The sequence below is a fragment of the Homo sapiens genome, chromosome 4, assembly GCF_000001405.40.
Source record: "Homo sapiens chromosome 4, GRCh38.p14 Primary Assembly".
In the NCBI taxonomy this organism is placed as follows: Eukaryota; Metazoa; Chordata; class Mammalia; order Primates; family Hominidae; genus Homo; species Homo sapiens.
Genome location: NC_000004.12, coordinates 122,839,258 through 122,856,668, shown reverse-complemented (window position 1 = coordinate 122,856,668; position 17,411 = coordinate 122,839,258). Strand labels below are relative to the sequence as shown.

The 17,411-nt window shown below is 39.9% G+C and overlaps 1 protein-coding gene and 1 pseudogene across 2 annotated transcripts in view, besides 2 other annotated features; both read right to left on the bottom strand.

Annotated features, from left to right (window-relative positions):
- FGF2 (fibroblast growth factor 2) overlaps positions 1-17,411 on the bottom strand; it is a 71,555-nt gene that overhangs the window by 41,568 nt on the left and 12,576 nt on the right. The window lies entirely within an intron of this gene.
- Positions 9,172-9,684: an enhancer, noted in NCBI's record as "H3K4me1 hESC enhancer chr4:123768140-123768652 (GRCh37/hg19 assembly coordinates)". NCBI's record gives its function as "activates a minimal SCP1, AML or CMV promoter by ChIP-STARR-seq in naive H9 embryonic stem cells {active_cell/tissue: H9 hESC(naive)}" and the evidence as "EXISTENCE:reporter gene assay evidence [ECO:0000049][PMID:30033119]".
- Positions 9,685-10,198: an enhancer, noted in NCBI's record as "H3K4me1 hESC enhancer chr4:123767626-123768139 (GRCh37/hg19 assembly coordinates)". NCBI's record gives its function as "activates a minimal SCP1, AML or CMV promoter by ChIP-STARR-seq in naive H9 embryonic stem cells {active_cell/tissue: H9 hESC(naive)}" and the evidence as "EXISTENCE:reporter gene assay evidence [ECO:0000049][PMID:30033119]".
- RPS26P23 (ribosomal protein S26 pseudogene 23) lies at positions 15,979-16,320 on the bottom strand (annotated as a pseudogene).

The following is a 17,411-nucleotide window of genomic DNA, read 5'->3' as shown; positions in this document are numbered from 1 at the left end:
TGCATGTGAATGAATCTATAATTATCTCAAAATTTTAAAATTTAATTTAGAAAATACCAGCCAACTAGTTCAAAGTCTCTACTTCTAGCTTAATAATTAATATTTTAAATCTGTGCTTTAAGATCTAGAAATTACTTGAGAGAAAGAAGCTAAGCAATATAAATAAGATTCCTTTAAATATTACTTTTAGTGTAACTTCCATTTCCATGTTAGAACAGAAAATGGAAGAAATTGAGAACCCAAGGGCAGAAGAGCCCGCAGACCAAATAGCCTCCACTGTATTTAGATTTTTTCATTTTACAATTCATTGTTGACTGAGTACCTGAACTAGGTCCCATTCAGGTACAAGGGATAAAGCACTGAAAGGAACCAGACACTGTCTCTGCTCTTGTGGATTTTACATTCTAGTGCAGTCTCTTAAAGCCAAATGAATATTGTGTCTTGAACACAATATAACACAATGTAACACAATATAAAAATCTGATGAGAGGTTTCAATTAATACTAAATTTCAATGATTTTATTCTAATAATTATATTAGAGAAAATATGTAAAATGTTTTGAAGAGGAATCACTATTTGAAAATTTTTTTTTCTGATGGCTTATTCTACTTATCAAATTCTCCCTTATTCAGAGACACATATGGTCTGTGGGCTATCCTGCCACCATGAGCTCTCAATTTCTTCCAATCCCTATTCTTCATAGTCTCTGAGTAATTTCACTAGAAGGTGAGGGTACGGGGACAGAAGAAAAGAAGGATGAAGCTCAAATATCACTTTTGCTACCTGTTGGTTGCACTTTTAGTAATTAGAAGAGGGGAGAGGATTATTTAAAGACAAAAATTGTTCCTCAGATAGCTGAAAATCTACAGATTTTTCTCATTTCCATTAGTAAGGGAATGTTAAGAACTTCTCTGGTGACCCCAGAACATTTGGTCACCTGACATTTCTTTGTATTTCCTGCAACGCTTACTGAATAAACAGGAAGCTCATCAGCTCCTAGGGCACCATCTGCACTACTTATGAGAAAATGTCTTCTAGCAGAGGCCTTCCAAAGCTGGAGGTGGAAGTGCCATGGTTTAGACAACCTGCTCTGTTGTCTGAGGAGGCAGCAGCAGACAGGCCTTTGAGGAAGTCAGTATCTTCATATGGAACAAGTTGTTGGAAGTCAGACCTTCAGTCAGGGTTGGCAATACTTTCACAAAAACAACTGAGAAATACTTCAACAAAACTGCTGATATTTTGAAATGTGAGTTCTTCAATATAAATCAATTCTTGAAAATTCCTCTCAGTACGCTGAAATCATAAGCAGCTCAGAAAGAGATTAAACAAAAATATAAGCTGCCTTAAGTAAGTATTTCTGCAACTAATCCAACATACTCAAGAGATGGAACACCTCCTGAATATAGCCTTTTCTTGGCAAATTCTTCCTTTTCGAAATGCTTCTTGGGTGATTTGAGAGAGCTTGAGGTTTCTCCTCAAAGTTAATTAAGTAAGTGCCTCATGGAGATAATGCAACCAGCTTGTTGGCCATGTTACTTTCCCTAGGGGTGAATGCCAATTAGCCGGGCTGTTTGTGTTCCTGGCACCTCTTTCTGGATTAAAGAGTTCACATTCATCCACAAAAATCACACAATTCAGGCAGCTCCAGAACAGAAAACAGAGCGGCATGTGTGTGCCCGGAGGAGGAGGAGCTTTGGGGGAAAGGCAAGTAGGGGCACAGGGTGGGGAAGGGAAGCTGCCCAGAGTGTTCCAGTTATTTAATACACTCTCCCACACAGTCATTCTATTTGACTGTAAAATCATTAGGAAAACACCTTTCAAAGCAGGCTTAAGACAAGAGAGTTTTATTTGACTCCCATGAAAATAGCCCCGGCAGCACGTCTCTCAATCAATGACGAGCATTACTGCAGCCTCCACTTTGGAAAACCACGCTTCCAGCCAAGAGCTCAAGGCCCATCTCCAAAACTTCTGAGAAGGCCCTTGCAAGGAAAATTCTTCCCCGCATCCCCTGCATGACATATGCTGGGTGGACTTAGTAGGAAGTTGGAAACGGCTCCTTTGCCTGAAAGTCTTCAGTAAGAAAACAGGACCTCTTCTTCAGCTGTGCTGAGTATTTAAAGGAATAAAACAGGATCACAGTAAAAGAAGATCATGGCTCCACCCTCAAGAATGCAGCTGCCTCTAAGTAGAAGTTAATAATTAGGCAGACTCCAGAGCTGAGTTCTTTAAAATATGCTATTTGAAATTGTTGTTAAAAGCCTGTGAGGTGCGGGAGACTCTTCTCCAAAAAATGTTTACCATTTCCTTACACAATCTTGATTGCCAGGGTCGAATACTACCACTGGTTTCACAAAAATATTGTGTTTTTGGAAAGGAAATGCACAGCCATCAAAAGAGTATCAGTGAATAACGAATATGCTCATTAGAATTCTGTAGGCGAATGCCTTTCTATGTTTACTACTTTAAAATATTGTATCCTTATGTGAAAAAGAAGCTATTTTTTAATGTCCTTTTAAAAAATCTTCTCACATCCAAAAGGCTTGCAGATCTAAAAAAGAAAATATATAATGGCTTTTCCCCATGTTCCTAGTATATCTTCTATGCTCTATCTACAGAAGAAACAGGTACTCTCATTGTGCAGTATAACCAGCTAAGCCTTCATCCATCCCAGCTCCTCTCTAGACGCAGCAAATACAGCACATATACTGATGCTTTACAAATGTCTATTTTTAATAGTGAAGATAATTAACAAAACTGCATTCTGCATCTCTCTCCATTTAATATATAAGAACGTTCATTCTTTCATTTAACTCCTATCAATATTGTCCATTTTAGTTTATAAAAGATAAGGAATTAGGTAAGTTTTGCTTATATTCTTCATCCAGCAAGCATTTATGAAGCACTCATTGAGTATCAAGCACAGCATTAGTATATACACCCTCGCACCATTCCAGTAACAACTACAAAAACAGACCACGTGGGTATGGATGCGTAACCCAAGTGCAGCAGGAGTAGTGTGGTGAACAAAAGACAGTTCAAGATGTTTAAATATTGGGGAATTCCGTGAAGGGGATCTAATTTCTAACTCCCTGAAATATTTCCTGATTCCCCTTTTCCCTCCTTCCTAATTCTCAAAAGTACAAATAGCAACAACAAAATCCCTTCCTCCTTACATCTTGTCTTCAGGGTTTTTACTCTACCTCAGCATTGTCTCCTCTGTTCCCCTCTGTGTGTTAAGATATTTATAATATACATGAACTTAAAACTCTCTTATTAAATAACTTGCCTCATCACACTCTGATTCTGGAGGGTGGAGGGCATACAATAGTAAAAAATAGTTTTTATTTTTATTTCACTTTATTTTATTTTTGAGACAGGATCTCACTCTGTCATGCAGGCTGGAGTGCAGTAGCATGATCATGGCTCACTGCAGCCTCAACTTCCCTGGCTCCAGCAATCCTCCTGCCTCAGCCTCCCAAGTAGCTGGGACCACAGGCACCCACCACCACACCTGGCTAATTTTTGTATTTTTGGTAGAGATGGCATTTTGCCATGTTGCCCAGGCTGGTCTCCAACACCTGAGCTCAAGCAATCCACCTGCTTCTGCCTCCTAAAGTACTGGGATTACATGAATGAGCCACTGTGCTCAGCCAGAAAATAGTTATATAAATGGTGCAGAGCAAGATAAATAAGGCCTCAGAAAAGGGCCCTATAACAGAAAGGTTAGGTTTAATGCAATCTGGACTATAAACATACCGTAGGTTCTTGAAAAGAAATGCATCAGGCTAAAAGTGGTGTTTAAAGAATTAATAACTGGAAAGGTTATTACAGCTGTTCACATGTAAGATAATAAAGATGTGGACTTTGATGGTGGCCATGAGGATGGAAGGCAAAGGATGAAATGCCAGGGTTTCATGAAGTTTGAATTTTGGTAAAAAATGAGCAGTGGAAAAAAATGTTGTGTTTAGGGGGTTTCAACTTGGAAATATGAAAAACTGACACAGAAAACAATTAAGGGAAAGTTGGTAAAATGAGGATAGTCAGTTTATGATCTAGCACCAATTCCATGCTCATAAAAGCGAGGAATTAATTGTTTATCTGATGGCAGACTTATTTTGGTGGCTCCAATGTACCACACCACCTGATATTTATATCTTCTGTAGCTCTTCCCAAACTGAATCTAGTCCTAGACATGTTGACTGATGTGACATTGGCAATTTTGATATTAGCAAACAGGATGCAAACAGCGGCTTACACAATGGAGCTTGCTCTCTTGGAACCCTTTCCTCTTGAGATCCAGCCACTGAAAAAGCCCAAGCTAACCTGAGAGAGACAGCACCTGGAGAAAGATATCATTAGGATTCCAGTTATCCCTGCTAAGGTATTGGACATGTAAGTAAAGCCATTTCAGATATTCTTGTCCCCGTGACCACTTGACTGCAGCTGCATGACACATTCTAAATTATACCAGGGGAACTATGCAGTTGCACCCAGGCCAACCCACAGAATCATAAAATATAAAATCACTATTTTAGACCACACAGCTTTGAGATGTTTGTTACACAGCAATAGACAACTGAAGCAGTGGAGGACAGATAAGATATAAGCTTTGAGAGATTTAGGAATAATAAATAACAGTAAAATGGTTACTTATTATTTGACAGTACTATCCTAAACACACTGCCTATATTATCATGTTAATCATCACAACAATACCAACATAGTAGCTATTATCAGCTAGTATCCCTATATAATAGATGAGGAAACTAATATTTAAATAAATTAACTTACCCAAGAGCATAGAATTAGTAAGGCACAGCTGAGACATAAACCCAAGTCTACCTGTTACCTGCACATATGTGAAAGATGAAACTGTGAGAATGAGCTCACCAGAGAAATGAGAAGAAAGAAAGAAAGGGCTGAGGCTAGGGTTAGGGCCAGGAAGAAAAGCCACATGATTGCACTTTTGCATTTTCTCTACTTTTAATAATAGCTGTTCAACACATTCTAGCTAAGAAATCAATTCTAGCCCCTATTTAGACAGTCAGTTCCTGCTTGTCATTCTATCTATATACTTTAAAACTCACAACACTATCTACTAGAGCCACATTTAAGCCATATTTCGGCTAACAGAATTTAGCTTCACATGCCTATTTGCTTTAGGATCAAAGGGTTGTTAAACAGTCTCTGACCATCTCCAGTGACAGAGCTGGTGTGAAGTACCCTCTTTTCTGGGATTATACTCTTTTCTATTGGCCATACCTACTTCTAATGATATTATCAGCCTTCCCCAAAAACTGAACCTCCAGCAGAATTTGAGTCAAAAATCCTTAAAATTTGGCCCTGAGAAATCATCTAGTCTGGACTTCTCTGCTAAAGATAAGAAATCTGGGTCACAGGTTGGTAAATTGTTTTGCCTTAAAGTTACCCAGCAATCTAGGGTCAAGATCAGCAGTCCTAATCCTCTTCTTTTGCTGAATGCTGAACCACACTGCCCCTTTGAAGCATGCCACTCTGTTATCTCTTCATTTGCCATCCAACAAGACATAGCAGGTTGAAATAATACTAAAATTGTGCTTTGATCCAAGCAATTGGTTGGATGCAAGGATGGGGGAGCAGGGGAAGTAGGGGAATGGATGAAAATACCAAGAAGTCTTCTCTCCCCAAAGAAAGTCTTCTTATACTATGTGTTCTTATTTCTTACACTAAAAAGACATAGTTAATAGCTATAGTGTATACATTTTCTAAGCGTCATAAAAGCAAGTACACAGGTAGTAAAGGAAATAGTTTCTGGCTCCAGTACTGACACTTCCATCCCAAAAAAGAAGCCTAAAATCACAACTATTGAATGTGTTTCCTTCCCCTGTGCCACAAAAAACTGGTCATGTTGGTTTTTTTGCTCCCTTCTTCTTGTGAGATTTGGAACCGCTCTCTGAAGAGAGCGCTAAGAGTCCCATACAACTAGCTACTTGGGAGTTTTGAATATGAATGTCTGTTTCAACCTAAATCTTCTCTTGCTTGTTCTCACTTTATTTTGTTTTTGTTTTTTTCTCTTTCTTCCTTTCCCTCTTCTACTTTCTACTTCCCTTATCCTGTCTGCTCCCATGACTTAATTTTTTTCTTTCTGCTTCCTCCAAAAAATATATGAGGCTATGTAAGAGAAGAAAAAAATCAGACATCTATAAAGTCATCCACCATCGCTCAATGTTATTTCTGGAAGAATAAGGAAAAGTTTAAGGCACAGAAATTAATTCTGTTTAAGATGCTCTGAATCGAAATCTCTTATCTCAGGCAGAGAAAGGAGTCTGGCCCTCCCAAGTACATTGTTCCAAGACCAGAAACAAATATATAACATTTTGCTCAACTCACAACTTTTACTGTATCTTTTTTTTTTCTTTTTTTTTTTGAGACAGAGTCTCACTTTGTTGCCCAGGATGGAGTGCAGTGGTGCAATCTTGGCTCACTGCAACCTCCGCCTCCCAGGTTCAAGCAATTTTTGTGCCTGAGTCTCCCAAGTAGCTGAGATTACAGGCATGTGCCACTGCATCCAGCTAATTTTTGTATTTTTAGTAGAGATGAGGTTTTGCCATGTTGCCCAGGCTGGTCTCAAACTCCTGAGCTCAAGCAATCCACCCACCTTGGCCTCCCAAATTGCTGGGATTACAGGCGTGAGCCACCGCGCCCAGCCAGCTTCTGCATTCTTGAACATACATTGTTGAACATACACAATGTTCAACATACACAATGTTCTGGAAATGATACATTCATCCAAACTGGTGTTATTAGCAATATGAGGTCTCCAGCCTCAAGTGGGCCCTCAGCAAGTGTTAGCCACTTGGGCATATCCCTGGTTAATTTCCTTTCCTATTCTCTACACCATGCTCTAAGGCTACCCAGCCAGCAGTCACAACTCTCTCAGAGACAGCATTCCCTCCTACTTCAAAGAAATTACTGAATATCACAGACATGAAGTCCCTCAATGTTCCTATACCTTAAAATGTATCTACCCACACTGTGCTAGCCAAGCTAAGCTCACCATTTAGTAGAACATTTGTCTTTTTTTTTTTATTTTACTTTAAGTTCTGGGATACATGTGCAGAACGTGCAGGTTTGTTACACAGGTATACACGTGCCATGGTGGTTTGCTGCACCCATCAACCCGTCATCTACATTAGGTATTTCTCCTAATGCTATCCCTCCCCTAGCCCCCCACCCCCTGACAGGCCCTGGTGTGTGATGTTCCCTTCCCTGTGTCCATGTGTTCTCATTGTTCAACTCCCACTCATGACTGAGAACATGTGGTGTTTGGTTTTCTGTTCTTGTGTTAGTTTGCTGAGAATGATGGTTTCCAGCTTCATCCATTTCCCTGCAAAGGACATGAACTCATCCTTTTTGTGGCTGCATAGTATTCCATGGTATGTATGTGCCACATTTTCTTTATCTAGTCTATCATTGATGGGCACTTTGGTTGGGAACATTTGTCTTTTTCTATAGCAACTAAGCCACCAAAGAGATTTTATTGTTTTGCTGCATGTTAAAATGTCTATGTATTTGGTAGGATTCTGATATGGTGTTTTAGCTTCAAAGTGGAGAAGCACCTTGCCCCTAAGGACACAAGGATAGACCAAGAGACCCAGTCCGGAAGAGCCAGTTGTCCAGGAAGCAAGTAAGGGAGATCCACAGTACAAAGAACACTCTCTGCTCCTGGCCCAGCACCTAATCCCACTCTCATGAATCCCAGCTCTCTCCTAGCAGTGCCAGTGATGTATTCTAAAAAGTAGCCAAGGCATCTGGTATCCACCTTCCTTTACTTCAGTGTCATCTTGGACCTCTCATGAGGCTCAAAGAACCTAAAGCACAAGTGCTTCTACTGACGATGATACTCCTGCTTCTAATCAATGGCAGTTTTCTTCCACATGAAAGGGGAATAATGCTCTGACAGAAGCAGCAGACATTTGCAACCACAGATCAGAACATGACTTTAAAAGAAACTACCACCAGTGCTATGTAATCAGCCTGCAGCCTCAATTCCCCTCTGTGGCCCATATCCTCAGAAACAGGCTCTGAGGCCCAGGTCAACTAAAGGGACAAGCGAAGAGTAGGGGGTGCTTTGGAGCAGATGGCAGCTGACAGACAACAGGCCCAGCAGCAATTGTTTACTGCTGTGACCACAAGTCTCCAGAATACAGGCAACAGCAGCCCACAACATCTCCACATCACGATCACTGTGATCAAGTTGGGAATGTTCCCTTTTTGTTTAACATAATTATGTCCTTTCTTCTGGAATAAGATTATTATTCCTATTTTCAGAAATCCTGAAGAAGAAAAACTAACCCACACACCTCAGGGGAAAGACAAGAGAAACCAGAAGAAAGAACCTGGACTCCATGTGCCCCTGGAAGGCACTAGCCATGGAAGAAGGAGACTCCTTAGGGTCTCAGTGTTGAGCTGAGGCTCAAAGCAAAACTGAACCTCTCAGTGTCAACAGGAGGCCAGTCTAGTACCTCTGTTAGGAAGTCTCTGACCCGTGTCCTTGGGGCATCATAGTGAATAAGTTGGTCTTACCCAAGCCAGGGCTTATTCACCACCCTCTTTGGACAGTCAGGCCAGTCTAGGGTTTATGTCAACAAATGCCTTGTGATGGTTAATTTTATGTGTCAGCTTGGCTGGGCCATAGTGCCCAGCTATTAGGTCAAACATTATTCTGGATGATTCTGTAAGGGTGTTTTAGAATGAAATTTACATTTGAATCAGTGGACTTTGAGTAGAGTAGATTGCCCTCCATATTGTGGGGGGCCCACATCAAATCAGTTGAAGGCCTGAATAGAACAAAAGGCTGCTTTCCTCCAGCAAGAAGGAATTCAGCCAGCAGACGGCCTTTGGTCTTGAACCACAACATTAGCTTTGCCCTGGGTCTCCAGACTGCTGGCCTGGACTTGGACTTGCCAGCCTCTGTAATCACATGAGCCAATTCCTTAAAATAAATCCCTCTAGGTAGGTAGGTAGATAGATAGATTAGATAGACAGATAGATAGATAGATAGATAGATAGATAGATAGATAGAGTGATCTCCTATTCATTCAGTTTCTCTGGAAAGCCCAGACTGAAACAAGCCTCCTAAAAATCGAGTTGCTAGGTCATCAGGTCATCAGTCCCAGCCCCAGGCAGCCTATTCCACATAGCAAGGTCATCCTCTGTGATGAGACTCCAAAGCCAGGTTGACTTCCAGTGAATACTGCTGCTCATAGACCAAACCCAGTCCATGGGGTCAGTCCAAGATACACCTGTAGCACTCCCACTCCACAGACTCCTAGCTTCCATTAAGCTTAATCTAGTCCTCTGTGTTCTGATCCAGGCCTTTCCTGTCTCTCCCAAGTCATTGTTCCGTGAGTATAAGAGGACATTCCCAAAGAATACGGTTATAATTCTCTCACCTTAGAAAAGTAAATACATCATGGAGAATATATTTGATTTTAGATTTTTGGTGTGCTTTGCCTTAGAATAGACAGTGAATTCAAGATAATGTACTGCTTTCAAATACTAATTAAGTATCATTTCCTGAAGGAAAGTAAAGCAGTTGTGCTGATAATGATCAAGGCCTTGCTTCTCTGTGTGGGACTTGAAAAGAAATAAGCCAAGGGGCAGATGAATGAGTGAGGAATGCGCCCCTTGTAATGCGCGGGCACAGGCCTGACCATGCCCCCTTCCCAGGAGTGCTCCACAGCCCACCCGTGCATCCATCGTGTGACTGACGGCAAAAAACCCCAGTCCACAAGTGTTTCCCGAAACAGGAACTTCTTCTGGCTGCTATCCTATCTCTCTCCTTCCCTTCACATTCATGCACCTCAGAGAAAAGTATTCAACATCTGCATCCACTTCCTCACTTCCCATTCATTCTTCTCAGAAAATTTTGCATAAATAATACATGGATACATTCTTTTAAAAAATTCACAAATACATAGGTAAAGAAGTGACCATTCCCCTTGATCTCGTCTCTTTTAATCCCATTCCTTTCTCTAAAGCTGTAAGCACTTGTTAGCAGTTAGGTATACATCCTTTTCAGATCTCAGTCTTCCTATTTACTACACAAGTATATATCTTGTGTTGGTGTGTGTGCATTTTCATAAATGGACTAATATTTTCAGCATTATTCAATAGTTTCCTTATTTCACTTAATAAAATGGAGACCCTTCCATTCTTGCACATATACAGGCATGCCTTGTTTTACTGTGATTTGCATTATTGCTCTTCACAGATACTATGATTTTTAAAAATTAAAGTTTCGTGGAAATCCTGCATCGAGCAAGTCTATCAGTGACCTTTTTCAAATAGCATGTGTTCATTTCATGTCTGTCTCACATTTGGGTAATTGTCGCAATATTTCAAACTTTTTCATTATTATTACATGTATTATGGTGATCTGTGATCAGTAATCTTTGATGTTACCACTGTAATTGTTTTGAGGGACCACAAACTACACCCATATAAGACAGCAAACTTAATAAACGTGTGTGTTCTGACTGCTCCACTGACGAATGTTCCCCTGTCTCCACCACTCTTAGGGCCTCCCTGTTCCCTAAGACACAACAATATTAAAGTTAGGCCAATTAGTAAACCTACAATGGCCTCTCAGTGTTCAAGTGAAAGGAAGAGTCTCATTGTCTTTCACTTTAAATCAAAATCTAGAAATGATTAAGCCTAGTGGAGAAGGCATGTTGAAAGCCGAGATAGGTCAAAAGCTAGGCCTCTTGCCACAAACAGCCACGTTGTGACTGCAAAAGAAGAATTCTTGAAGAAAATGAAAAGTTCTACTCCAGTGAACACAAGAATGATAAGAAAACAAAACAGCCTTATTGCTGATATGGAGAAAGTTTGAGTGGTCTGGATAGAAGATCCAAACAGCCACAACATTCCCTCATGCCAAAGCCAAATACAAGACAAGGCCCTAACTCTTCAGTTCTATGAAGGCTGAGAGAGGTAAGGAAGCTACAGAAGAAAAGTTGGAGGCTAGCAGAGCTTGGTTCATGAGGTTTAACAAAACAAGCCATCTCCATAACATAAACATGCAAGGTAACACAGACAGTGCTGATGTAGAAGCTAGCGCAAGTTATCTAGAAGATCTAGCTAAGATCACTGATGAAGGTAGCTACACTAACAACAGATTTTCAATGTGGACAAAACAGCCTTTTCTTGGAAGAAGATGCCATCTAGGATTTTCACAGCTAGAGAGGAGAAGTCAACGCATGTCTTCAAAGCTTCAAAGGACAGGCTGACTCTCTTGTTAGAGGCTAATGCAGCTGGCGACTTTAAGTGGAAGCCAATGCTCATTTACCATTCTGAAAATCCCAGGGCCTTAAGAATTATGCTAAATCTACTCTGCCTGTGCCCTATCAATGGAATAACAAAGCCTGGATGACAGCACATCTGTTTACATCGTGGTTTACTGAATATTTTAAACCCACTTTTGAGACTACTGCTCAAAAAAAACATCCCTTTCAAAAGAATACTGTTGGCTAGCAACATAGCTAGTCACTCAAGAGCTTTGATGGAGAGGTACAAGGTTAACATTTTCATGCCTGCTAACACAACATCCATTTTGCAGCCGATGGTTCAAGAAGTAATTTCTACTTTAAGTCTTAAGATTTAAGAAATGTATTTTGTAAGGGTATAGCTGCCATAGATAGTAATTCCTCCAATGGATCTGGGTAAAGTAAATTGAAAACCTTCTGGAGGCTGGGCATGGTAACTTATGCCTGTAATTCCAAAATTTTGGGAAGCCAAGGCAGAAGGATGGCTTGAGCCCAGGAGTTCAAGGCCAGACTGGGTAACATAGTGAGACCCTGTCTCTACAAAAAATTTTTAAAATAGCTGGGTGTGGTGGTGCATACCTGTAGTCTCAGCTATTCAGGAGGCTGAGGTGGGAGGAACACTTGATTCCAGGAGATCAAGGCTGCAGGGAGCCATGACTATACCACCGTACTCCAGCCTGGGTGACAGAGTAGGTCCCAGTCAAAAAAAAAGAAAGAAAGAAAGGAAGAAAGGAAGAAAGAAAGGAAGGAAGGAAGGAAGGAAGGAAGGAAGAAAGAAAGAAAGAAAAAGAAAGAAAGAAAAAGAGAAAGAAAGAAAGAAAAAAAGAAAAAGAAAGAAAGAAAACCTTCTGGAAATAACTGACAATTCTAGATGCCATCAAGAGTATTTGTGATTCATGGGAGGAAGTCAAAATATTAACACTACTAAGAGTTTGGAAGAAGTTGACTCCAACCCTCATGATGACTTTGAGGGGGTTCAAACCTTCAGTGGAAGAAGTAACTGCAGATGGGACAAAAATAGAAAGAGAACTAGAATTTGAAGTGAAGCGTGAAGATGTGACTGACTTGCTACAATCTGATGATAAAACTTAAACAGATGAGGAGCTGCTTCTTAGGGAAGAACAAAGAAAGTGATTTCTTGAGATAGAATCTACAGCTGGTGAAGATGCTATATGTATTGTTGAAATGGCCACAAAGGATTTAGAATATTACATAAACTTAGTTAATAAAGCAGCAGGAGGGTTTGAAGAGTTTGCCTCTAATTTTGAAAAATGTTCTACTGTAGGTAAAATGCTATCAAATGGCATCTCATGCTACAGAGAAATCTTTCGTGATAGGATAAGTCAACTGATGCCGCAAATTTCACTGTTGTCTTATTTTAAGAAATTGCCGCAGCAACCCTAACCTTCAACAACCACCACTTTCATCAGTCAGCAGCCATCCACTGAGGCAAGATCCTATACTAGCAGAACAATTACGACTCACTAAAGGCTCAGATGATCATTAGCATTTTTTAAAAATACAGTATCTTTTCACGAAGTTTATACATTGGTTTTTTAACATATATAATGCTACTGTACACTTAACCGATTACAGTACAATGTAAACATAGCTTTCATATGCATTAGGAAACCAAAAAGTTTATGTGGCTCGCTTTATTGTGATATTTACTTTATTGCGGTGGTCTGGAACCAAACCCACAATATCTTCTTTGAAGATATGTCCATACATCACTTACTATGTTCAGGAAAATAGTCTGAGAGAGATTTACATTTCTCAATTGGATAACTGAAATCATTTCCTAACTGTACTCCCTGCCGCCAGCTTCACACCCTCCAATCTATTACACACACCCGCCAGAGTGATCTCATCAAAGCCCAAATTTAATCCTCTTATTCTCTGATTAAAACCCTCCATTGACTCCCCACCACTTCTAGGATAAAGACGAATTGTTCAGTATGGCTTGCAAGGCCCATCATAATCCAGTCCCTGCCTAGCTAGCAGGTCTTACTTCTTGCCATTCCAAACTTCTTTTGGTTCCCAAAACATGCCAGACCTGGCCCTGCCTCCTTGGCCTTCCTGCCCTTCCCCGCCCTGTCTGCCTGGCAAACATCTACTTGATTCCAAACATTCTGTTCAGTGTCACTCCTGTTTGAAGCCTTTTATGACTTCCCCATTAGAACTTACTGCTATCCTTGCTATGATCTCACTGTCCCATGGAAAACACCACAAGCAAAGCAGGCAAAACATTTTATTGCCCTTATTGATTTATATCTCTTTCTTGTCGTGCCAAACAAAACACATTTTAAGGGACAAGGGCCTTGACTTTTTCATCTCCAGCACCCAATGCTCTGTATAATATAGTGGTACTTTGTGGTTAAAAATAGCAAATTAATCAATATATTATTTTTATTGAGGTATAATGTGTTTGATCCCAAGTAATATTTAAGGTGAGTTACAAAGATATTGACAATATACCAAAACAAAAAACTTTAAAAATGGCTTTTTAATAAGGCAAATACAAATGAAGGGTTTAAAACTGATGAAGCCAGGAGTGAGATTATTATACTTGCTAGAAGCAGGCCATATATTTGGCTTTCTAGTAGCCAGCAGCAATAAGAAATTTCCCAGAGACCATAAGATAAAAATAAGCTGGCTGCTAAGGAAAAGCATAACTAGACCCAACATAGTTACCACAGAGAAGTTTCTCCTAAGGAACCTCAGAGTGGACACTATGTAATGAGATCAACAACAGTCCTCAACATTTCTTTAATGTTTCTGTTAATTATACACAGAGACGAGCTTCACAGAGATGTTTCTCACAAAATCACTCACCATAAACTAAAGTTTCACCCCAACACACAATTCAGTAAACTCATTTTCACTGTCATGTGGTTCAAATTGGTTCTCTCCCAGATGTCAGATTAATTAAAAGACATATTTTAGTGTTTCTAGTGATACTGTCCTTAACATTTTGGACCACAGATAACCTTTTGAGAATCTGACAAAATGCTATGCACCCTCTCCTCAGAAAAACAACCTAGCATTTTGCATCTATTTTTAAGGGAAACCTAAAGCAAATCCATGAACTCCCAGGTTAAAACTCTCTGTCTGGAGGAAAGATGCACTCCATACATCGTTGAGGCAGGCTTCCATAAATAGTATTTCCCCCAACAGGTCTTTAGAAAGGTTCTGCTGTCTGTCCTACCTAACCTAGAGAGCAGAACTGTGTGCTTTAACTGTCAGCCATGGTGGGCATTAGGCTTCTTCTAGAAAAAGAGAGGAATCCAACAGGAACATTCATCCACTTCTGGAGTGATACCCATGGGCAGAGCCAATATTCTCCAGAATTCTTTAACATAAAAGCTCTACAGTTCTACATCATTAAGCATAGCCAAAAATAATTTAAGTGAGGAAAATATTCAAAGTAGGTGTAACCAAATATCCAAACTGTTAATTTTTTAAAATTTCACTAAAACAGAGAATATCTAACTTTGAATAATGTAACTTCCTGCAGTATCTTCCAAGAAAAATTAGTTGAGTTGCAAAATATATATGGAAATAACTAAGTGAATTTTCCTGCTACACAGGAATTAGTTACTTTGCTGTTAAAAGTTGGGTGGACGGTCTAGCAAAAAACATAACTTTGGTTTAGCATAATCATCTGAAGCATGACGTTTTACTAGTAATTGGAAAATAGGATCAGCTGTCTATTAAAATAGTTTTAGATTATGATAATGCATCTATATCACCTTTATTTTTTTTCTTTTAGAGGAAAAGCATAATTCCAGTTTATTAAAAGTGATATTAAATCATTAATAAATACATTTTTAAATAAGAGATCAGCCTGGAAATAACAATTCCTGTCCAAAGGTTGGAGGAATATCCATAAAAGCCATAGACAATATTATACAGTTTCTGACATCAAGTGTCAGGAAATTAGTATTAAATGTAATAGTGCGGAATAGCAGAAATGCCATGACTAAGGAGTGTCCACTCCTCATGAAAAATATGGCCTAAGCCAGGGGTCAGCACATTTTCTGGGGTAAAGGGCCAGGAAGTAAATATTTTACACCTTGAGGGGTATCTGCCATTGTAGTGTGAAAGTGGCCACAGACAATGTTTAAACAAAGAGGGTGGCTGTGTGCCAATAAAACTTATTTAGCTGTTGGAGCCTGGCCTAAGAATCCTAAATACGAAAAACTCTAGACTCTCTTGAAGAAAATACACATCTTTTACAGAAGGTTGCTATGAGAAATTCGGTCAAATATTCCATGGAAATTAACACACGAAGGCTATGTATATATTATGACTCTCCCATTGTAGCACCCTAGTTACTACTTACTCTGTTATCTTCTTTTTCAGTATTCTCAAACCTCTTGGAGTTTTTTTCAGAGATCTGTATCAAGCTTACTACTTACCTAGAGTTTCCAAAAACACCCTGTATCCCACTTTTTTATATCTATGACAACCACACATCTGCTGGTAACTTTCCTATGTTTTCTGATTTTTACAGACTTGAAACATCTGTGAGCTCTGGGGGCAATGTGCGTACCAGGAGATTGAAGTCTTTCAAGTCCACGATGTTTTTCTCTTTTTTTAAATACAATTTTCATTTTATTTTTTTCCAGAAGATAGTTTTTCTTCAGACCTTAAGGACTCAGCTCCTTACCTGGGCTTTAGTGGAGGTCGTGGGGCAGCACCCACAGGTCTAAATCGGGATCGGGGTATTTGGTTCGTGTGGGCTTCACAAGATCAATTCCTGACTACCTTGCTATGAATGGCACAACTGACACAGCAATGTAGCTTCACATACAACTTGAGAAGCACGGAGGTGTCAAAGACACTCGCTTTGGAAACGTACCTGATAGCTGCAGCCTCTACTATGTTTCAAATGACAAACTTCTTAATAGCCTTGTACTTGGCCATGCATCGGGCACAGTTCCTGCCACAAATAGGCTGTACGTGGCTATGGCCTTTTTTGGCATGACCATTATTCCTTCTTTTCTTTTGCGTTTTGGAAGCAAGGGCCCAGGAGAGTTTCTGAGAAGTAACATGATCAGAGTTCCTCTTCAGGAAAAAACAATGTCCAACTGCTGAACAACTAGACAGAGTAATTAACTCACTCTGGCAAAGAATAACATCCTTTATTATGGGATACTATGGGCTGAATTGTGTTCCCCGAACTCATGTTGAAGCTCTAATCCCACTATCTCTGCATGTGCTCCTGTTTGCAGATGGGGCCTCTAAAGATGTGATTACGTTAAAATGAAGCCTTCAGGGTGAGCCCCCATCCAATCTGACTGAGGTCTTTATAAGAAGAGGAAACCTGGACATACAAAGAGACAACAGAGACACAAGCACAGTGGAAAGATCTTGTGAAGAGGCAGCTAGAGAGTGGCCATCGACAAGCCAAGGAGAGGGGCCTCGGAAGAAACTAAACCTGCCAAAACCTGATCTTGGACTTCCAGCCTCCAGAACTATAAGAAGATAAATTTCTATTGTTCGAGCCACCCAGACTGTGGTATGTTTGTTATGGCAGCCTTAGCAAACTAATACAGATGAGCTCAGTTAGACAGCAGTTGCAGTAGTCAGGGTTAGAACTAGACAAGCTGCAGCAAGATTGCAGTGACCGGCACAAGTGTGAATGTGCTGCAGAAATGAAATGGACAGGGCCTGAGAAGAGAAGTGAGGAGTGGGGAAAACGACATAGTAGAAATTCACTCTAACACCTGGGCCTGGTTGGCAAGGAAGATGGTGATACCATTTGAAAATACAGGAGAGTCAATAAAGGAAAGAGGAGTTTAATTTTTAGACACTTTTCCGGACGTGTCTTGCTACATGCTTTCTTGGTATCTCTTTATCTATCTTGGTCTTTATTCCCTCACATAGTAGACACTCAGAAAATTATTGATTAATGGACAATCTCACTCAATGAAGAAAATTAAACCCAAGCCCATCTGCTTTTGTTGTTGTTGTTGTTGTTTTAAAATCTTACACCACATGTCCTTAAATACTGAAAAGATACCCTCGATTTTTTCTGGAAGAGCCTAACTATACTTTGAAAACATCCTTTTAGTTATCTTTATGACAGTGGTCCC